The following is a 21,267-nucleotide window of genomic DNA, read 5'->3' as shown; positions in this document are numbered from 1 at the left end:
CAACTTTTATTTTAGTTTCAGGGGGTACAGGTGCAGGTTTGTTACATGGGTACATTGCATGTCACTGAAGTTTGGTGTACAAATGATCTTGTCACCCAGGTAGTGAGCATAGTACTCAATAAGGAGTTTTTCAACACTCTTCCTCCTTCCACCCTCCCCCTTCTAGTAGCCCTGGTGTGTATTGTTCCCTTCTTCATCTCCACATGTACTAAATGTTTAGTTCTCACTTAGAAGTGAGAACATGTGGTATTTGGTTTTCTGTTCCGGTGCTAATTTGCTTAGGATAATGTCCTCCAGCTGCATCCATGTTGCTGAAAGGACATGATTTTACTCCTTTTTATGGCTGCATAGGATTCTATGTTGTGTATGTATCATATTTTCTTTTTTCTTTTTTTTTTTTGAGATGGAGTTTCGCTCTTGTTGCCCAGGCTGAAGTGCAATGGCGCGATCCAGGCTCACTGCAACCTCTTCTTCCTGGATTCAAGCGATTCTCCTGTCTCAGCCTCCCACGCAGCTGGGATTACAGGCATGCACCATGACGCCTGGCTAATTTTTTGTATTTTTAGTAGAGACGGGGTTTCTCCATGTTGGTCAGGCTGGTCTTGAACTCCTGACCTCAGGTGATCTGCCTGCCTCGGCCTCCCAAAGTGGCAAGATTATAGGTGTGAGCCACCGCACCTGGCTACCACATTTTCTTTATCCAGTCCACTGCTGATAGACATCTAGGTTGATTCCATGTCTTTGCTATTGTGAATAGTGCTGTGATGAACATCTGAGTGCATGTCTTTTTGTAGAGCAATTTATTTTCTTTTAGATATATACCCAGTAATGGGATTGCTGGGTCAAATGGCAGTTCCACTTTAAGTTCTTTGAGAAATCTCCAAACGATTTCCACAGTGGCTGAACTAATTTACATTCCCACCAACAGTGTAAAAGTGTTCACTTTCTCTGCAGCCTCATCAGCATCTGTTGTTTTGTAACAATGGGCATTATGACTGGTGTGAGATGGTATTTCATTGTGGTTTTGATTTGCATTTCTCTGATAATTAGTGATGTGGAACATTTTTTCATACGTTTCTTGGCCACTTGTATATCTTTTTTTGAGAAGGGTCTGTTCATGTCTTTTGCCCATTTTTATATTTATTTATTTATTTATTATTTATGTATTTATTTATTTTTGAGACGGAGTTTCACTCTGTCAGGCAGGCTGGAGTGAAGTGGTGCGATCTTGGCTCACTGCAACCTCTGCCTCCCCAGTTCAAGCAATTCTTCTGCCTCAGCCTCCCAAGTTGCTGGGATTATAGGTGCCTGCCACCATGCCTGGCTTCTTTTGCCCTTTTTTTTTTTGAGACCAAGTTTTGCTCTTGTTGCCCAGGCTGGAGTGCAAAGGTGTGATCTCGGCTCACTGCAACCTCCGGCTCCTGGGTTCAAGCAATTCTCCTGTCTCAGCCTCCCGACTAGCTGAGATTACAGGCATGCTCCAGCACGCCCGACTAATTCTGTATTTTTAGTAGAGATGGGGTTTCTCCATGTTGGTCAGGCTGGTCTTGAACTCCTGACCTCAGGTGATCCACCAGCCTTGGCCTCCCGAAGCGCTGGGATTACAGGTGTGAGCCACTGTGCCTGGCCTCTTTTGCCCATTTTAAATTTTGATTATTATTATTTTTGAGACAGAGTTTCGCTCTTGTTGCCCAGGTTGGAGTGCAATGGCGCAATCTTGGCTCACCACAACCTCCGCCTCCCAGGTTCAAGCGATTCTCCTACTTCAGCCTCCTGAGTAGCTGGGATTTCAGGCATGCGCCACCATGCCTGGCTAATTTTTTGTATTTTTAGTAGAGATGAGTTTTCTCCATGTTGGTCAGGCTGGTCTTGAACTCCCAACTTCCAGTGATCTGCTTGCCTCGGCCTCCCAAAGTGCTAGGATTACAGGCGTGAAGCACCATGCCTGCCCCCTTTTGCCCATTTTTAAATGGTGTTACTTGTTTTTCACTTGTTCAATAGTTTAAGTTCCTTATAGATTCTGGATATAAACCTTTGTCAGCTGCATAGTTTGTGAATTTTTTCCTCCATTCTGTAGGTTGTCTGTTCACTCTGTTGACAGTTTCTTCTGCTATGCAGATGCTCTTCAGTTTAATTAGATCCCACTTGTCAATATTTGTTTCTGTTGCAATTGCTTTTGAGGACTTAGTCATAATTTCTTTCCCAAGGCTGATGTCCAGAATGGTGTTTCCTGGGTTTTCTTCTAGGAGTCTTTGTTGGACGTCTTACGTTTAAATCTTTAATGCATCTAGCATATGGTGAAAGGTTGAGGTCTAGTTTCATTCTACTGCATATGAGTGGCCAGCTATCTCAGCACCATTTAGTGATATATGTCTATACTTTTTCCAATACTACTGTCTTGATTACTGTAGCTTTCGCATAAATCTTGAAATTAGTGTAAGTCTTCTAATTTTGTTGATCCTTTAAAAAATTGTTTTGGCTATTATAGGTCATTTGCATATATATATATTTTTTGAGACAGAGTTTTTGCTCTTGTCCCCCAGGCTGGAGTGCAATGGTGCCATCTCGGCTCACCACAACCTCTGCCTCCCAGGTTCAAGCGATTCTCCTGCCCTAGCCTCCCGAGTAGCTGGGATTACAGGCATGTGCCTCCATGCCTGGCTAATTTCGTATGTTTAGTAGAGACGGGGTTTCTCCATGTTGGTCAGGCTGGTCTCGAACTCCTGACCTCAGGTGATCTGCCTACCTCGGCCCCTCAAAGTGCTAGGATTACAGGCGTGAGCCACTGTGCCCGGCCTCTGTTTATATTGTACAATCAGTTTGTCAATTGAAAAAAAACCTCCTGGGATTTTGATTGAATTTCTATATAGCATTTTGGGGAGAAATGTATGTAAATAATATTGAGCCATCTGATATGTAAACAAAATATATCTCTTCATTTTTCTAAGTCTTTTAAAATTTACTTCAGCCATGTTTTATAGTTTTCAGTGTACTTGTCTTGCACATAGTTTGTTAAATTTTCTCTAAATATTTCATGTTTGGTGATGCTATTATAAATGTTTTTACACATTTGATTTCCAGCTGTTCATTGCCAGTGTATAAAAATACTTTGGAAGGCCGACGTGGGGGGATTGCCTGAGCCTAGGAGTTTGAGATCAGCATGGGCAACACAGGGAGACACTGCCTGTACAAAAACTTAAAACAATTAGGTGGGTGTGGTGACTTGTGCCTATAGTCCCAGCTACTGGGGAGGTTGAGGTGGGAGGATCGCTGGAGCCTGGGAGGTCGAGACTGCAGAGAGCAGTGATCATGCCATTGCACTCCAGCCCAGGTGACAGAGCGAGACCCTGTCTCAAGAGGAAAAAAGAATTTTTTATATTGATCTCAGATCTTAAAACGTTGTTAAACTCATTCAGTTCTAGTGCATTTTTGTTGCTATCTTAGGATTTTGTGCATAGATGAATATGCATACTAATGAAGTTCATTTTACTTCTTCTTTTTCTATTTGCATGCCTTTTTATTTCCCTTTTTTGCCTTCTTGAACTGACTGTCAACTCCAGTATAATGGTGAATAGAAAAGGCGAGGGCAAACATCCTTGTTTTGTTTTTGATTTCGGGGAGAAAGCATTCAGTTTTCACCAGTAAACATGATATTAGTTGTAGTCTCATCAGTTGAATGGAGGTAATTTTTATTTATTTTTATATTTTATTTTTTTTGAGATGGAGTCTTTGCTCAGTTGCCCAGGCTGGAGTGCAGTGGTGTGGTCTCAGCTCACTGCAAACTCTGCCTCCCAGGTTCATGCCATTCTGCTGCCTCAGCCTCCCGAGTAGCTGGGACTACAGGTGCCCGCCACCATGCCCAGCTAATTTTTTGTATTTTTAGTAGAGACGGGGTTTCACCATGTTAGCCAGGATGGTCTCGATCTCTTGACCTCGTGATTCACCCGCCTCGGCCTCCCAAAGTGCTGGGATTACAGGCGTGAGCCACCGCGCCCAGCTGAATGGAGGTAATTTTTTACATTATTAGGCATGAGACCAGTTTTGGTCATTATGACCCTTTATGATCTTGAGAGAAATTTAGAAGAAGATGGGGGACTGGGTGCGGTGGCTCACACCTGTAATCCCTGCCCTTTGGGAGGCTAAGGCGGGTGGATCACCTGAGGTCAGGAGTTTGAGACCAGCCTGACCAACATGGTGAAATCTCGTCTCTACCAAAAATACAAAATTAGCCGGTGTCATGGTGCATGCCTGTAATCCCAGCTACTCGGGAGGCTGAGGCAGGAGAATCGCTTGAACCCAGGAGGAGGAGGTTGCAGTGAGCCGAGATGGCACCATTGCACTCCAGCCTGGGCAACAAAAGCGAAACTTCGTCTCACACACACACACAGACACACACACACACAAAAGGAAGAAGACAGGGGATACTCTGGCTGGTAGTCACTATTTCAGATCAGGTGCCCTGGGAAGCAGGCTCTGAGACAGATATTTGCATGCAGAGGTTTACTGGGGAGTGCTCTTGGAATTAACACCTGTGGGGTTGGCCAGAGGGAGAATTTGAACTGCAGCAGTCTCAGTGAAGGCCTCTGCTGATTCCACGGAGAGTTAGTTCTGGAGCTGGGATGACCCTGCGTAATTGTCCCAAATTAAAGCTGAAGATAGCTGCCTCACCCAATCATGTTGATTCTCCAAGCTTCCTTTTTTGCAAGTCCCAAGCGTCTTGTGATACGTTGGAGTTGGGCTTGTCTAGTTATCTTGGTACTTGGTTTCATATCTCATGTCTAGAAACAGAGATCAAATACTCAGAATTGCAAAGATTGTAGATAGCATTTAGTGACAAAGTAAAAGTCTTTTTAAGACTTTTTCACCAGGTGGCTTTCTTTAGTAGATGACGAGAGAGAATATTATAAAATCTGTAATATTCCCAAGGCAGACTGATGCAGAGTTGAACACTGCATTACACTGAAGCAGCTAAGGCTCCAGACCCACAGGACTGAGTTGGGTGGCCTAGAATTCCCACCAAGTTCCTACTGAAAGTTATCCTAACATCTACCTCATAGGGCTATTATGAAGGTTAAATGAACTAATTCTTCGAAAATGCTTGCGTGCTGCCTGGCACATAAGCCCCCAGTAAATGTCAACTATTATTGTTATCAATATCCTTAGAATACTTTTCTTTGCAATTTGTATATAATGAAAATATACTGCATGTATTTATTTTTAAGCAAAGTGAACACAGGAGGAAATAAGGTCTTAGATAAATAATTGTAAAATGAAACCTGATGACAGATAATCTGTTACTGATGATTAATTTCTCTTCAACAATTACAAATACTAGCAACTTGGTTCTTAAAAATAATGTTTTAGGCCAGGTGCGGTGGTTCATATGTGTAATCCCAGCACTTTGGGAGGCCGAGGTAGGCGGATCACAAGGTCAGGAGTTCGAGACCAGCCTGGCCAACATGGTGAAACCCCATCTCTACTAAAAATACAAAGAATAGCTGGGCTTGGTGGCGCATGCCTGTAATCTCAGCTACTCAGGAGGCTGAGGCGGGAGAATAGCTTGAACTCAGGAGGCGGAGGATGCAGTGAGCCGAGATCGCGCCACTGCACTCTAGCCTGAGCAACAGAGTGAGATTCCATCTCAAAAAAAAAAGTTTTAAAATTTAATTAAAAATTTAAATTATGAAAATATTCAAACATACACAAAGATAGAGAATAATTAGAGGAACCCCCATATATCCTTTACCCAGAATCAATAATTATCAGTTTTTCCCATAAAACATCTATTCCTCTTTTTATTTTACTTTCAAAAAGAAATTCAAGTAATTATACCATTTTGCCCTCATATATTTTAGTATGCATCTCTAACAAATTTGGTGTCATCTAGTAGCCGGTCTACAATACAATTTCTTTTATTGTCTAAAAAATGTCTTATTTAAAAAGGTTTGTTTAAATTAGGATGCAAACAAGGTTAACACATTTGTTTGTTGTCTCTTAATTCTGTTAAGAACTCGAGCAATTCCCCCACCCCACCCTCTCTTTCGCTACCATTGTCATGTTCCAAAAACTGGGTCGATTGTCCTACAGAATAGCCCACATTTTGGATTTGTTAGTTTGATTCCTTGTGCTGTCATTTAACTATTCCCATGTCTCTTGTATTTTATTTTACAATTATTTATCTTTAAAGGATTTTTTTTAAAACTACTTTATTGAGATATGACTGACACATAAGAAGCTGCACATATTTAATGTATACATCTCGATGAGTTTCGGGAAAGTATACATTAGAGAAACCATCTCTACCATCAAAATTTAAAGGCTTTTCTTTTCTAGTTAAAGTACATAATCTGGTTCTTGTGAAAAATTTAAAAAATTTAAAGAGCTACAATTGGTAATGTGGAGAGACATTATCAAGTCTGCCATAATCCCATACCTAGAGATAATCACTGTTAATTGTCTGGCATACATTCAGCCAGACTTTTTTCTTCACTCAGTGAGAAAATCACTTCTCAAGTTATTTAGCAATGAAATTAGTCATTGTGTGATTCCTTATTGCAACTCTGTTTTCCTGGAGATTATTCAGAGAGTCTTTGTACAGTGTCTCAGTCCTGTAAGAATTTTAGCCATTGTTAGAAAGCGCTGGGGCAAGACCACATAGTTATTGTTTTAAGTTAATCGAACATGGGAGATTGGTTATGCATTGCAGGGTGAAGAATGTAGCAATGGGTAAGGAGTAGATACAGAATGAGAAAAGTTGAGGGAATCATGAAGGACCAAACCTTACCTTGAACTCTAGAATCTATCAGATAAGACATGATTTAATAAGATTAATTTGATGCCCAGCAGAGGCAGAAAAGACCCATTAATCCAGTATTTAAATAACAAGAAGAGTTTTGTCAAACTGTCTGTCTCTCTGGAGATTCTAAGTCTCCCATTCTCCTCTCCCATTCTAGGAGTGGGCTATGGGTAGGATCCATACTATGATCTCTCTTAGTGTCTGCCAACTGAAAATTTTTTTAAAAATCAGATTATTCTATTGTGCATGACTTCCTTTGTTCAAGTGGAAGCATTACATGATTCCTTTTATAACACGTTTCGATTTTTAAATTCTTTACATGTACATATATACAATTTTTATTTTTTATTTTTAAAATTTATTTTTCTGTATTTTGTTTCATTTTTAGTTCTTAATTTTGACTTCTTTCAGTTGGTTTTAATATATCTTTGAATATTTCTTTCTAAAAGCAATGTGAAGGATATGTTTTCTCATCCTTGGACATCTGAGAATACCTTTCTGTTGCCTTTATACATGAAAAATCTTTTGAATAGATTTAAAAATATTTGATTATAACATTTCTGCTCAAAATTTAGTAGATAGTACTACGTCATCTTTTGGGACTTACTGCAGCACGAACGTTGAACACGCGTACATTTTATTCCTTTATAAGTGACTTCTTCATTCTCCTAGGATTTATGCAGGAGCTTCTTTGGTTGGTTTCTTTTTTGTTTTTTAAATTGTTTTCTGAGATACATTTAGACATGTGATCTAGATACTTCCTGTGTGCCCTTCCACTGTGCTATGGGTTGTGGGATTTTTTTATAGACTGAATCAATGGGCTCTTGTGGCTTTGAGCTTCTGGTTCACGGAGGCACTGGCAGAAGATCAAGGACAGCAAATAGAGTGAGGTCAGGCCTTCTACAACTCTCTCTCTGGGTGCCGATACCTTGTCCTCCTCTTGCCTCTTCAGGCCTATGGGTGATAGTGGCTTTAAATGTTTGGCTGATTCTGTCTGGATCTCCTTTTATTGATAATTCCAGGAACTTGGTGAGTACTATTAAATTTCAATGTCCTATCTTCAAGGTCACTGATTATTTCTTCTGTTGTGTCCAAACTACTCTTAAGCTATTCAGTGTTTTTTGCCTTGTTTTGCAATTTCATATATTGTATTTTTCAGTTCTAGATTTCCATTTGGTTGCTTGTTTTAGATTTTCCATTTCTTTACTAATGATTTAATTTGTTTATCTGCTATGACCGTATTGTCCTTTAAGTCTATGAAGATTTTTTAAAAATTTATTTTAAATTTATTTTTTTTGAGACAGAGTCCCACTCTGTCACCCAGGCGGGAGTGCAGTGGCACCACCTCGGCTCACTGCAACCTCCGCCCCCCAGGTTCAAGTGATTCTCCTGCCTCAGCCACCCGAGTAGCTGGGATTACAGGAGTGTGCCACTATGGCTGGCTAATTTTTGTATTTTTAGTATAGACAGGGTTTCACCATGTTGGCCAGGTTGGTCTTGAACTCTTGACCTCAAGTGATCCTCCTGCCTTGGCCTTCAAAGTGCTGCAATTACAGGTGTGAGCCATTGCTCCTGGCCTGAAGATATTTATAACAGACATTTTTAAGTTTTTGTTTGATAATTCCAACTTCTGGGTCATTTTGAGACTGGTTTCTATTGACTTATTTTTCTTTCTCATGGGTCTCCTTTTCCTTTGTCATCCATCACTTATCTAGTAATTTTTAAACTGTATACTGGACATTGTGGGAGATGTGCTGAAGAGCATCATCAAGAAAACATCAAGTATGTTTTCTACCTTGAGGAATGTTAAGCATTGTTCTTGAAGGTAGTTCACTTGCTTTATATCACCTTAGTTTTGTTGGAGGCATAATTGTATGCCTTGTTAGTGCAGGTCTACTATGGTTTTATCTTTACTCCTAAAGTGAATATCTTAGTTTTGGGAGGTGGTCTTTGCTTCTAAAATGTTGTCTTTCTAAATTATAGATGACCTGAACAAATGGAAACACATCCCATGCTCTTTGATGGGTAGAATCAATGTGAAAATGACCATATTGCCAAAAGCAATCTACAAATTCAATGCAATTCCCATCAAAATACCACCGTAATTCTTCACAGAACTAGAAAAACCAATCCTAAAATTCATATGGAACCCAAAAACAGCCTGCATAGCCAAAACAAGACTAAGCAAAAAAAAAAAAAACAAATCTGGAGGCATCACATTATCTGATTTCAAACTATACTACAAGGCCATAGTCACCAAAACAGCATGGTACTGGTATAAAAATAGGCATATAGACCAATGGAACAGAATAGACCACCCAGAAATAAACCCAAATACTTACAGCCAGCCGATCTTTGACAAAGCAAACAAAAACATAAAGTGGGTAAACAACACCCTGTTCAACAAATGGTGCTGGGATAATTGGCAAGCCACATGTAGGGGAATAAAACACGATCCTCATCTCTCACCTTATATAAAAAGCAACTTAAGATGGATCAAGGACTTAAACCTAAGACCTGAAACTAAAAATTCTAGAAGATAACATCAGAAAAAACCCTTCTAGACATTGGCTTAGGCAAAGATTTCCTGACCAAGAATCCAAAAGCAAATGCAATACCAACAAAACATTACTATGTTTTTGCATCTATGCAAAGGCATAAGAATGATATAATAAACTTTGGGGACTCAGAGGGAAAGGGTGGGAAGAAGGTGAGGGATAAAAGACTACAAATTGTGTGCAGTGTATACTGCTTGGGTGATGGGTGCACCAGAATCTCACAAATCAACGGTAAAGAACTTACTAATGTAACCAAATACCACCTGTTCCCCAAAAAACTATGGAAATTAAAAACAAAACCAAACAAACAAACAAACAAAACCACTGGGTGTGTTGGCTCATGCCTGTAATCCTAGCACTTTGGGAGGCCGAGGTGGATGGATCATTTGAGGTCAGGAGTTTGAGACCAGCCTGGCCAACTTGGTGAAACCCTGTCTCTACTAAAAATACAAAAAATTAGCCGGGCATGGTGGCATGCGCCTGTAGTACCAGCTTCTCAGGAGGCCGAGACATGAGAATTGCTTGAACCCGGGAGGTGGAGGTTGTAGTGAGCCAAGATCTCGCCATTGCACTCCAGCCTGTGTGACGGAGACCCTGTTTACAAAAAAACAAAAACAAAAACAAACAAAACAAGCAAACAAACATTTGGGAGAATAATTTAGGAAAAAAAAAAAAAAGAGTGGTCTCTCTGGGATTTTAATGGAAGACCTGTATTTTTTTTGCCAAGTTTCTTTAACTTGAGTGACTTGATCTCTGAATTCTGTCTTCCCTGTAGTGGGCATGTGCTGAAATCTCAGGTCAGCTCTTTTTTTCTTCCAGCTGTTTCGAACCTTGGGCACTTTGTAGTTTTGATCTGCACACATGCAGTTCAGAGGTCAGCCAACAATACAAGGGGTGATTATATGGAGATGTTAAGTTACTCCCCTTCCTGACTTCTTCCAATCTATAGAATTCTGTGAATCCTCCATTCAATAAGCAGTTGCTTGGGCAAGTCCCTTCTGACTCCACAGACCAACACAACTACAGGCTCTCTGCTTGACCCTATCTGCCATGCTAGACAAACTAGGGCATGTCCTGAGGGCAAGAGCCACGTATGTGTTTGTTGGCCTCACTTGGTGTGATTCACTTTTTTTTCAATGTCAAGTCCCCTTCTTTTTCTGCCTACTGTTGGTCACTCTCCAGTGTCTTTAAACAGCTGTATTTTGTATTTTGTTCAGAGTTTATAATTGTGATCATCAGTAGGAATAGTCTGATGTAAGTGGCTTTGCTATTACTAAGCCATTATTACTATTTATTTATTTATTTATTTTTGAGGTGGAGTCTCACCCTGTCCCCAGTTCAGTGGCGCGATCTTGGCTCACTGCAACATTCACCTCCTGGGTTCAAGCGATTCTCCTCTCAGCCTCCTGAGTAGTTGGGATTATAGGCGTGCGCCACCACGCCCAGCTAATTTTTTGTATTTTTAGCAGAGATGGGGTTTCGTTATGCTGGCCAGGCTGGTCTTGAACTCCCGACCACAAGTGATCCACCTGCCTTGGCCTCCCAAAGTCCTGGGATTACAGGCATGAGCCACTGCACCCGGCCCATTATTATTATATTTTGCTTATATTTTTGAAATATGCTGATATGGTTTGGATTTGTGTCCCCACCCAAATCTCATGTTGAATTGTTGGAGCGTTGGAGATGGGGCTTGGTGGGAGGTGACTGGATTATGGGGGCAGATATCCCCCTTTGGTGCTGTTTTTGTGATGCTGTTTTGTTCTCATGAGATCTGCTTGTTTAAAAGTATGTAGCACTCCCCCGCTCTCTCTCTTCCTCCTGCTTCAGCCACATAAGACGCGCCTGCTTCCCCTTTGCCTTCTGCCATGATTGTGAGTTTCCTGAGGCCTCCCCAGCCATGCTTTTTGTACACCCTGCAGAACTGTGACTCAGTTAAACCTCTTGTCTTTATAAATTACGGAATCTCAGGTATTTATAGCAGTGTGAGAATGGACTAATACATGTCGTCTTGTACTCTTGCCCCCTACAGCCTATTCTCACTCTAGTAGCCAGAGTAATTCTGTTAGACTATGAAGTCTGATAATGTATTCCTTTCCTTATAATCCACCACTGACTACAGTCTCCGTTACAATCCTAAATCTTTGTGTCCTAGTCAGTTCGAGCTGCTGTAACAAATATGCCACAGACTAGGTGGCATAGACAACAGACATGTATTTCTCACAGTTCTGGAGCCTGGAAGTCCAAGATCAAGGTGCCAGCAGATCTGATGTCTGGTGAGGGCCTGTGTCCTGCTTTGCAAATGGCTGTCTTCTCATTGTATCCTCACATGGTGGAGAACAGGGTGAAAGACGCCAGGAAGCTCTCATGTCTCTTCTTAGAAAGGCACTAATCCCATCACTAGGGCTCCACCCTGATGACCTAATCACCTCCAAAAGGCCCCACTTTGTAATACTATCACCTTAGGGGTTAGGATTTCAATATGTGAATTTCGGAGGGGACACAAACTTTCAGTCCATAACACCTTGCAGTCAGCTACACTGCCTTCCAATGTATCCCTCACCCTCACTCTACCTTTTTTCTCTCTTATTATTTTTCATTTTAATCACTGTTCTTGTCAAACTGACCTTCTTGCTATTCTTTGCACTTGCATCAAGGCCTTTTCTCTTTCTGTTCTCTGTTCCTGGAACAGGCTTTCCTCACCCTATTTGAAATTGTAAATCGCTTACGATCTGTTTCCATCTTCCCTGATTGACTTTATCTCCATAGTGTTTATAACCAACTTGTTAATTAACTGTCTTTCCTCATAAGGATGTAAGTTCCATGAAGGCAGGGATTTTTTTGTTGTTGCAGTTTTATAACTTTATTTGATGTATTTGATGATCAATGGTTAGTTGTCATCCACGTTGACTATCAGTAGGTATTTGAAAGTGGTAATAGGTATAGGTAACTGAAGTGTAGAGCTTGTTTGGTGAATCTTCATTCTGATTATGTTTTCTGGACAACTGCACATGGATACAGCATAGGACGTTGCTTATTCCTTTAGCTCAGACAGTTTTGTTGAGCCTGGTATCAATGTGCACTTCTGGAGTCCCCATCGCCTTCATGGCAAATTTCCAGAGGCTTTTGAGTGTGCTCAGGAGGATGCTTCTCGAAACCCACTCCCTGGATGTGCTTGGGAATGTTGATGGTGTATTCTTGGGTTCTCACTCCATTGAGGGCCCTTTTCGCTATCTGTCTTTGCAAGAGCCATTCTGCCTGGCCCGAGTTGGGTAGTAGGCAGGGATTTTTGTTTTGTTTTTTTCTGCATCTGTATTCTCAGGGCCTGGAACAGATGAATGTTGAATGAATCAGGGCATCTTTCTCCACAGGGACTCACATTGGCTCAGCTCCTTAGTACTGAAAACGTATGTCCCAGTCATATGGGACAGCTCCCAGCCACATTGTGAAACTGGCATATTTTGTCTTGGGCTATTTTACTTCATTTCTGTAGTCTTTCCTAAAGCTCCTCCCTTGCAGCACTGATCTCCTGGGACCCCATACTGTGGAATTTGCTAAAATGTCAGTGAATTTGGTGTCTGTGGCATTTATTTTTATCAGAAGTAACTTCAGGCGGCCGGGTGTGTTGGCTCATGCCTGTAATTTTAGCACTTTGGGAGGCCGAGGTGGGTGAATGACTTGAGGTCAGGAGTTTGAGACCAGCCTGGTCAACATGGTAAAACCCCATCTCTACTAAAAATTCAAAAATTAGCTGGGCGTGCTGGCGGCTGCCTGTAATCACAGCTACTTGGGAGGCTGAGGCAGGAGAATTGCTTGAACCTGGGAGGAGGAGGTTGCAGTGAGCCAAGATCGCGCCACTGCACTCCAGCCTAGGCGACAGAGCGATACTCCATCTCAGAAAAAAAAAAAAAAGAGAAATAGTGTCAGGAAAACCTGGTATCTTTCAAATTTGTTACTATCACATAGCATATACCAGCGTTCTAGTGTTTCTAGAGTTAATAGGACAGAGATAAGAAAAAAAGAGGATATTGGTTTAATCATCATTTACATAATGCATTTTATGAGCCCACATAAATTATGCATTGTTGACCTTTAAATTAATTTAGGCTTAATGAGATGGTTTCATCATGTTTAAAGACAGCATAATTATTTTCTTATGTTCATTATCATTTTCTAAGCTTACTTATGCTTTGTCCACCCTCAAGTCCCAAGTGTATTGTCTTACTATGAAAAATTGTTAAACCTGTTTTCTGGTGTGAGGTTTGCAGAAGTCTGGTCTCACCAAAGAGATATACTAAATTGTTTAATTTAGCAGGGTACACTAGAGTGACTTTTGTTTTAATTGTGAACTGTATTTCCAAAAGAGTTAAACTTTGTGGTGTTTAATGGGACCACAAATGTCGATTTTTCTTTTCTTTTCTTTTTTTTTTGAGACGGAGTTTTGCTCTTGTTGCCCAGGCTGGAGTGCAATGGCACGATCTCAGCTCACTGCAACCTCCGCCTCCCGGGTGTAAGCAATTCTCCTGCCTTAGCCTCCTGACTAGCTGGGACTACAGGTGCATGCCACCAAACCCAGCTAATTTTTGTATTTTTAGTATAGACAGGGTTTCACCACGTTGCCCAGGCTGGTCTTGAACTCCTGACCTCAGGTGATCCGCCTACCTCAGCCTCCCAAAGTGCTGGGATTATAGGCGTGAGCCCGGCCCACAAATGTACATTTTCAAATGTACTTCACACCAGGAATCTTAAATATCTTGGGCACAAATTGAATAATGAATCTGGGGCACAGCTGAGATATGAGAAAGTAGGATCCACAGGACCTAGGATCTTTAGAAATGAGTGGAGGAATTGAGACAGAGCACAGCCATGATGAGTTGTCTTTGCTCCATGATGTCTGAGCTTCAGCTGGGAAGACTCAGGAGCTGAGGATGACTTGATTTCTTGGGCCTGGAATCATCTGGAAGCATCTTCACTTGCATGTCTGGTGGCTGGTCCTGGGTGATGGCTGGGACCCCTCCTTGTCTGCCAGCTGGAACAAATATAGGTGGCCATTCCATGTGGTTTCTCAGCATAGACTAGCTTGGGCTTCCTCACAGCATGGCAGCTGGGCTCCAAAAGTGAGTGTCCCAAGAGATAGGAAGTAGAAGCTGCTAGCATCTTAAGACCTTGGACATGGTCATAGTGGTAATTTCTGATGTATTCTACTGGTCAAAGACTAACAAAGCCCAGATTCAACACTGACCCACCTCTTGATTAGAAGAATGGTAAAGAATTTTGGGGTTCTGTTCAAAAACCTCCACAGTTCCTTAGGTGATAGTGTAGCTCCATGGTTAGGAGGTCAGGGTGTGAACTCAGACTGCTTGGGTTCACATCTCACTTCCATTTTTACTGGCCATGTGATCTCAAGCAAGTTCATTGTTGTAGAAACGATTGTTGCACACCAATCTCCATTTCTGTTCTCTTCTTCCTGGGAATACCAATAGACTATTTCCCTGCCCCTTACACCTACGTGGGGCCAACAGACTAAGCTGGCAGGCTCTGAGCAGAAGTGCCACATGCCACTTCTGGCTGAGGTGGGTAAGAGCTCTGGATTTTCTTAGTCTCTTCTCCCTCAGCTGTAGCTAGAAGCAGGGCATCCAGCAGCAGACACAGGGGCAGGCAGTGGAGGAGTCACAATATGGAAGGGGCCTGGCTCCCTGAGTGACCCTAGAGTGAGTCCTTTCTCTCATGCTCCTGCCACCAGGATATGGGGGAGGTGTAAACTTTGTGTTGAGCCATGAGGTTTTGGGGGTTGTTTGTTACAGTAGTTAGCCTATGCTGACTAATACATTACCTAACCTCTCTGAACCTGTTTTGTTATCTGTAAAGTGGGGGTATTAGATGTGGCTACATTTAAGTGCCCCACAGGTTAAGTGAAATAATTTGATGCACAGTGCCCAGCACATAGTAAGTACCCAACGAGTGTTAGCTATTGTTAGTAAGTGAATGCGAATGCCCATTAGGAGAGGGTGGCAGGTTTGCTTCAGTAATGGTAGGGCTGTCATTATCATCACCATTGCTGGAATGGCACCTGCTATATACTGAGCACCTGCTTGGGCCAGACTCTGTCCTAGGGATGCTACACTTTTGTTCCTTTTAGTCCTCTGAGGCAGGAATTATTAACCTTGAGGAGGAGCTGAGAGTCCTGGGGCCCAGAACTGCTGCTGAAGCTGTCTCAAGTCACACCGGGCGCTCCGACCTCAGAGCCTGACTCCTTTTACTGCGGCGATGATACCCTTGCATTTTTGGGAAATGTGACTTTAAAAAAAAGTGTCATCCATAGGCCTTCCTTCTTGCTGGGGAAGTGCTGTGTCTTTCTTTTTTTTTTCTTTTTCTTTTTTTTTTTTTTTAAATCGATATTTTACCATATTTTATTTTTTATTATTTTTACACACGGGGTCTCACTCTATCACCCAGGCTGGAATGCAGTGATGTGATCATAGCTCACTGCAGCCTCCCACTCCTGGGTTTGTGTCTTCCTTATTGAGACTTTCTCTACTTCAAGTTGTAAGAATCTGCTTTTATAACTTAATCTTTTGGCTTACAGCTTGGCCCCAAGTGTGGAAGGCTCCAGCTTCCTTCCCCGCCGCAGGATCCTATTACTTCTTTGTTCTGTTTGAACTCTGCAGACTCTAAAGTGAAGTGAGTCGGTGGAAAACCTGGCTGGATCTCAAGAATACAGCCTGCGTCTGAGTCCCATGAATCTCCCCGCAGCTTAAGGCCTCCTGTGAGCAGAGCGGATACTGTAAAGCCCTCTCAAAGACACTAATAACTAGAAGTGGGACTGTAGCTCCAAAGTGGCTTTTTTTTCCCCTTTCCCCCGTGTAACTTGCTGGAAGCACTTCGTATTTCTTTATTTCTTTGTGGAATAAAAAAAATTTGTTTGTAATTCCATGAGAATTAGAAAGGCTTGTCTCAACTTCTGAGTTGGTACTTGACATTCAGATACTAAATTTACTAGAGGAAGCACTTTTGCTAGATTAACCAACGATGGATTTTTCTTCACAATTGCGTGTTAATTTGCTCCCTCTTTGAGATGTCAATTTTTGGTTTTAGCAACACAGCCCACCCCATAGATCAGCAGATCTGTGAGTGTGGATTCAGTTGTTAGCATCACGGGGCAGGGGTCCCTGGACTGCATGTGCCTTTGTATTAATTGACTAGACTTGCAGTTATATTAATTCTACTTGTGGTTGTTTAAATTGTGCCTACTTGCACCTTACTTGTTGAGTCAAGATAACAGGGGTTATATAAACGAGTTTATAATATATTTGGCTTATCCTGCTCCTCGTCTGGCTCTGATAAAATTTTAAACGTTCATTTTTCTTTCTTTCTGTCTCCCAAGTCGTTTCTGAAAGGCAAGACGTTAGACTAAAACCAACTTCTATACTTAAGATTATCCTTGAAATAGTTACGAATATGTTCAGGAAACAAAGCCTTGCTCATTATGTGCTAGAACAATGGGTAAACTTTGCTTTCTTGTAGAGAAGAAAATGTTTTCTTCAATAAGATATCGGAAACTATTTTTGTACTTGAGAAATCATGTTACTAGAGACCTAAAAGATCCGCATTTTGTGGCTGTTTAAGAAAGCTACACAAGATGGCGCCAGAGAGCCGGAGTGGAGAGGGATGCGCGCCCCGCACGAAAAGCTCAGCGCCAAAGGGGCGCCCGGGGCGGGCAGGCGCGTGTACCGGTTCTGCGGCGGGGCGGCTGGGCAGGGGCGCTTTGCCCATCCTCACAGCTTCCGCTCTCTCCGGGCAACCTTTTCACCAGCTTCGCACAGACTTTCCGCCCGGCACCGTCCTTGGGTCCTCGGGGTCTCTGGAGCGGCCTGGAGGAGCCGCTGGAGAAGGAAGGGGGAGAAAGCAGCGGCGGAGGCGGAGGCTTCCTCAGGCCCACTTCGAAGCAGGGCGCCCGGCCGAGCCTCTGAGGAAAGCGCGCGCGGGACGCGGATGGGTCTCGGCCTCCAGGGGCCGCGGGAAGGGAGAGGAGGAGGGCGAGGGGAAGCGGCGCTCGCGCCCGGACTCCGGCCATTCCTCAGCGGTCCACCGCAGCTGGCGTTCTTCTTTGATCCCCGGAGTTCTCAATGAAAGAACGGAGAAAGTGGCTTAAAAAATTGTGGTTGAATACACACAACAGAAAATTTACCATCTTAACCAGTTCGGTGGCATGGAGTGCACTCAGCCGTTGCGTATATGGGCGAGTGTCGCCACTGCCCATCTCCAGAACGCTTCATCAAAGGGGACGAAACATCGCGTCCGTGAAATGATAACTCCCGCTCCCCTCTCCCCGCTCTCCCCGGCCCTGGCAGCCAAGCGTGCTCTTTCTGTCTGGAGGAATCTAACCACTCTCCGCACCCCATAGAAGCGGAATGCCACAGTCCCATTTGTCCTTTTGTGATGGACTGACTTCACTTAGCATCATGGCCTCAAGGCTCATTCCTGCTGTAGCCTGTGCCAGAATTGCCTGCCTTTTAATAAGCCTGAATCATATTCCTGTGTGTGTGTGTGTGTGTGTGTGTGTGTGTATCACCACATTTTGCCACTTTTACGTATAGACCACATATCTTTCTTCCTTTTTTAAAAAAATTATTTTTTATTTCAATAGTTTTTGGGGTACAGGTGGCGTTCGGTTGTGTGGATACATTCTTTTTTTTGGGGGGCAGAGTCTTGCTCTGTCGCCCAGGCTGGAGTACAGTGGCAGGATCTCGGCTCACTGCAATCTTCCCCTCCTGGGTTCAAGCGATCCTCCTGCCTCAGTCTCCCGAGTAGCTGGGACTACAGGCACCTGCCACCACGCCCAGCTAATTTTTGTATTTTTAGTGGAGACGGGGCTTCACCACTTTGGCCAGGCAGGTCTTGAACTCCTGACCTCAGGTGATCCGACTGCCTCTGCCTCCCAAAGTGCTAGGATTACAGGAGTGAGCCACCGTGCCCAGCCATGTGGATACATTCTTCAGCCTTGATTTCTGAGATATTAGTGCACCTGTTACTGAAGCAGTGTATGCTGTACCCAATGTGTAGTCTTTTATACCTCGCCCCCCGACCAGCCTTCCCCTGCAAGTCCCCAGAGTCCATTATATCACTCTTATGCCTTTGCCTACTTATAGCTTACCTCCCACTTATAAGTGAGAACATATGGTATTTGGTTTTCCATTCCTGAGTTACTTCACTTCGAATAATGGCCTCCAGCTCCATCCAAGTTGCCGCAAAAGACATTATTTCATTCCTTTTTATGGCTGAGTAGTGTTCCATGGTGTATATATGCTACATTTTCTTTTTCCACTTACTTAGACCACATTTTAAAAATCCGTTAATCTGTTTAAGGATATTTGGGTTGCTTCCACCTTTTGGCTATTTCAAAAACTATTGAAATTAAAAATAAATAAATAATTAAAAAAATAAACATTTAAAAATTTGAGTCCCTGCTTTTAATTATTTTAGGCATATACTCAGAAGTGGAACTTATGTTTAATTTTTTGAGGAACCGCCATACTTTTTCCCATAGCAGTACACAAGGGTTTTAATTTCTCCACATCCTTGTTGACATTTTTTATTTTCTGATTAAAAAAAAATTAGAGCCATCCTAATGGGTATGAAGTGATTGCGGTGGGGTTTGATGTGCATTTCCTGGAGAAATTGGTATTTATTTATTTATTTATTGTTTAGGCCACATTTTATTTTTATTTTTTTCATAATTGAGATTTTATTGGTTGAGGATCAGTACAGACATTTCAATTTGTACACAAATCTTAACATACGTAACGAAATTCTAAAAAGCCATGTATTGTAATTCTTTTTTAAAGTTATTCCAGTGACTCTCCAGCTTAAAATTTGGAAGCAAATTTTCCTTAAGAGGTTATCAAGTACCAGTATCTTCACATGTTGGTCAGCTGTTACATACGGCCCACCAGTTCACAACTCAATAGCACGTACACTACATGTTCAAATTTGTAATCTTTCACAGCACAGTAAGTTATTAGGAAAACAGGACTACCACAACCAAAGATGTTACAGAGTACACACAATTCTGACAGAGAGCGCCATGATCAAAGAGTGGTTTTCTTTAGGAAACAATTCTACTAAAAAACAACATGGTAATAGAAGTAATTTAGAATGTTCAAGACATTAAATGCAGGACTGACTCCATATTGCCATTTAATATGCTTTGTATTATGGGATATAAAAACTAACCCCCCATCTATGGAATGTTAAGCTGACACCCGAGACAGTCAGAGCCTCCCATAATTCAATATCCCACACTACTTTCTGGTTGTACCAAAAAATAAACAACCAGGAAATGATTTCACCTCTTAAAAAAAAGCATTTACACTTAAAAAATGGGATGAGGTGGGATTCCCTCCTCCTTAAAAATGTTTCTAGAGCTACTAAAAAACTTGCATTTACAAAATAGTTGATAAAAATTTTCCTCTGGATTGTACAAGAAGGGAGACAGGGACCACTGATGAGACATGGTATATGGTTATTAATCAGACTTGGCTTCTTTCTCTCCTGCTTCATCAGAGGCTGGACTCTCCTCAGTTTTCGTTTCCCCGTTTTCTGCAGGTAAATCTTCTTTAGTTTCTTGGTTAGCCACTTCGGCCTGTTTTCCCTTTGCTCCCCTTTTCCCTTTTGTTTGCGCTTTTTTGTCTGAAGATTTATCCTTCGCTGCTGCCTTTTTCGGCTTCGCTTCCACTTTTGCAGGAGGTTTAGCTGACAACCGCGCCGATCTCCTCTTGGACTCTTCCTTGGCGGCGCCTTCGGCGGAGCTGACCTTCCTCTTGGGCATCCTGGCGGCGGGGAAGGCGCGTGCCGGGTGCCTGCGGGCCGCGGCGCGCCGAGAGCCTTCGCGAAACTGGGCTGCCTTGCCGCTGCCGCTCCTCCCGCCGCCCGAGCTGCTGAGCTAGGCCACATTTATTTATTGTTTAGCTCCCTAGTCAGGAGACTCTGCAGCGTGGCCCAGTGGTTACGAGCGTGGTATCTGGTGTGTGACGGGCCTGAGGGAGAATGCCAGTGAGAGGCGACAGCGTGCTGGCAGCTCTTGCAGCCCTTGCTCGCTCTCGGCACCTCCTCTGCCTGGGCTCCCACTTTGGCGGCACTTGAGAAGCCCTTCAGCCCGCCGCTGCACTGTGGGAGCCGCTTTCTGGGCTAGCCAAGGCCGGAGCCGGCTCCCTCAGCTTGCAGGGAGGTGTGGAGGGAGAGGCGCAGGCAGGAACCCGGGCTGCGTTCGGCGCTTGCGGGCCAGCGCGAGTTCCGGGTGGGCGTGGGCTCGGCGGGCTCCGCACTTGGAGCGGCCGGCCGGCCCACAAGCCCCAGGCAGTGAAGGGCTTAGCACCTGGGCCAGCAGCTGCTGTGCTCGACTTCTCGCCGGGCCTTAGCTGCCTCCCCGCGGGGCAGGGCTTGGGACCTGCAGCCCGCCAAGCCTGAGCCTCCCCTCCCTGCGGTGGGCTCCTGTGCCCGGCCCGAGCCTCCCCGACGAGCACCGCCCCCTGCTCCAAGGTGCCCAGTCACATCGACCACCCAAGGGCTGAGGAGTGCGGGTGCACCTGCCTCCCCGGTGTGGGATCCACGGGGTGAAGCCAGCTGGGCTCCTGAGTCTGGTGGGGACTTGGAGAATCTTTATGTCTAGCTAAGGGATTGTAAATACACCAATTGGCCCTCTGTATCTAGCTAAAGGTTTGTAAACACACCAATCAGCACCCTGTGTCTAGCTAAGGGTTTGTGAATGCACCAATCACACTCTGTATCTAGCTGATTTAGTGGGGAGGTGGAGCACTTTTGTGTCTAGCTCAAGGATTGTAAAGGCAGCAATCAGCACCCTGTCAAAACGGACCAATCAGCTCTCTGTAAAATGGACCAATCAGCAGGATGTGGGTG

General features: G+C 43.4%; 2 pseudogenes, besides 2 other annotated features; both read right to left on the bottom strand.

The window, feature by feature from the left end:
* On the bottom strand, nt 12,275-12,556 carry RPL31P6 (ribosomal protein L31 pseudogene 6; annotated as a pseudogene).
* Nucleotides 16,973-17,122: a silencer, noted in NCBI's record as "silent region_6845". NCBI's record gives its function as "represses an Ori minimal core promoter by ATAC-STARR-seq in GM12878 lymphoblastoid cells {active_cell/tissue: GM12878}" and the evidence as "EXISTENCE:reporter gene assay evidence [ECO:0000049][PMID:35858748]".
* Nucleotides 17,233-17,282: a silencer, noted in NCBI's record as "silent region_6844". NCBI's record gives its function as "represses an Ori minimal core promoter by ATAC-STARR-seq in GM12878 lymphoblastoid cells {active_cell/tissue: GM12878}" and the evidence as "EXISTENCE:reporter gene assay evidence [ECO:0000049][PMID:35858748]".
* On the bottom strand, nt 19,080-20,293 carry HMGN1P38 (high mobility group nucleosome binding domain 1 pseudogene 38; annotated as a pseudogene).

The sequence above is a fragment of the Homo sapiens genome, chromosome 15, assembly GCF_000001405.40.
Source record: "Homo sapiens chromosome 15, GRCh38.p14 Primary Assembly".
Lineage (NCBI taxonomy): Eukaryota > Metazoa > Chordata > Mammalia > Primates > Hominidae > Homo > Homo sapiens.
Note: the sequence above shows the minus strand (reverse complement) of the source record. Positions and strands in the feature narration are given on the sequence as shown.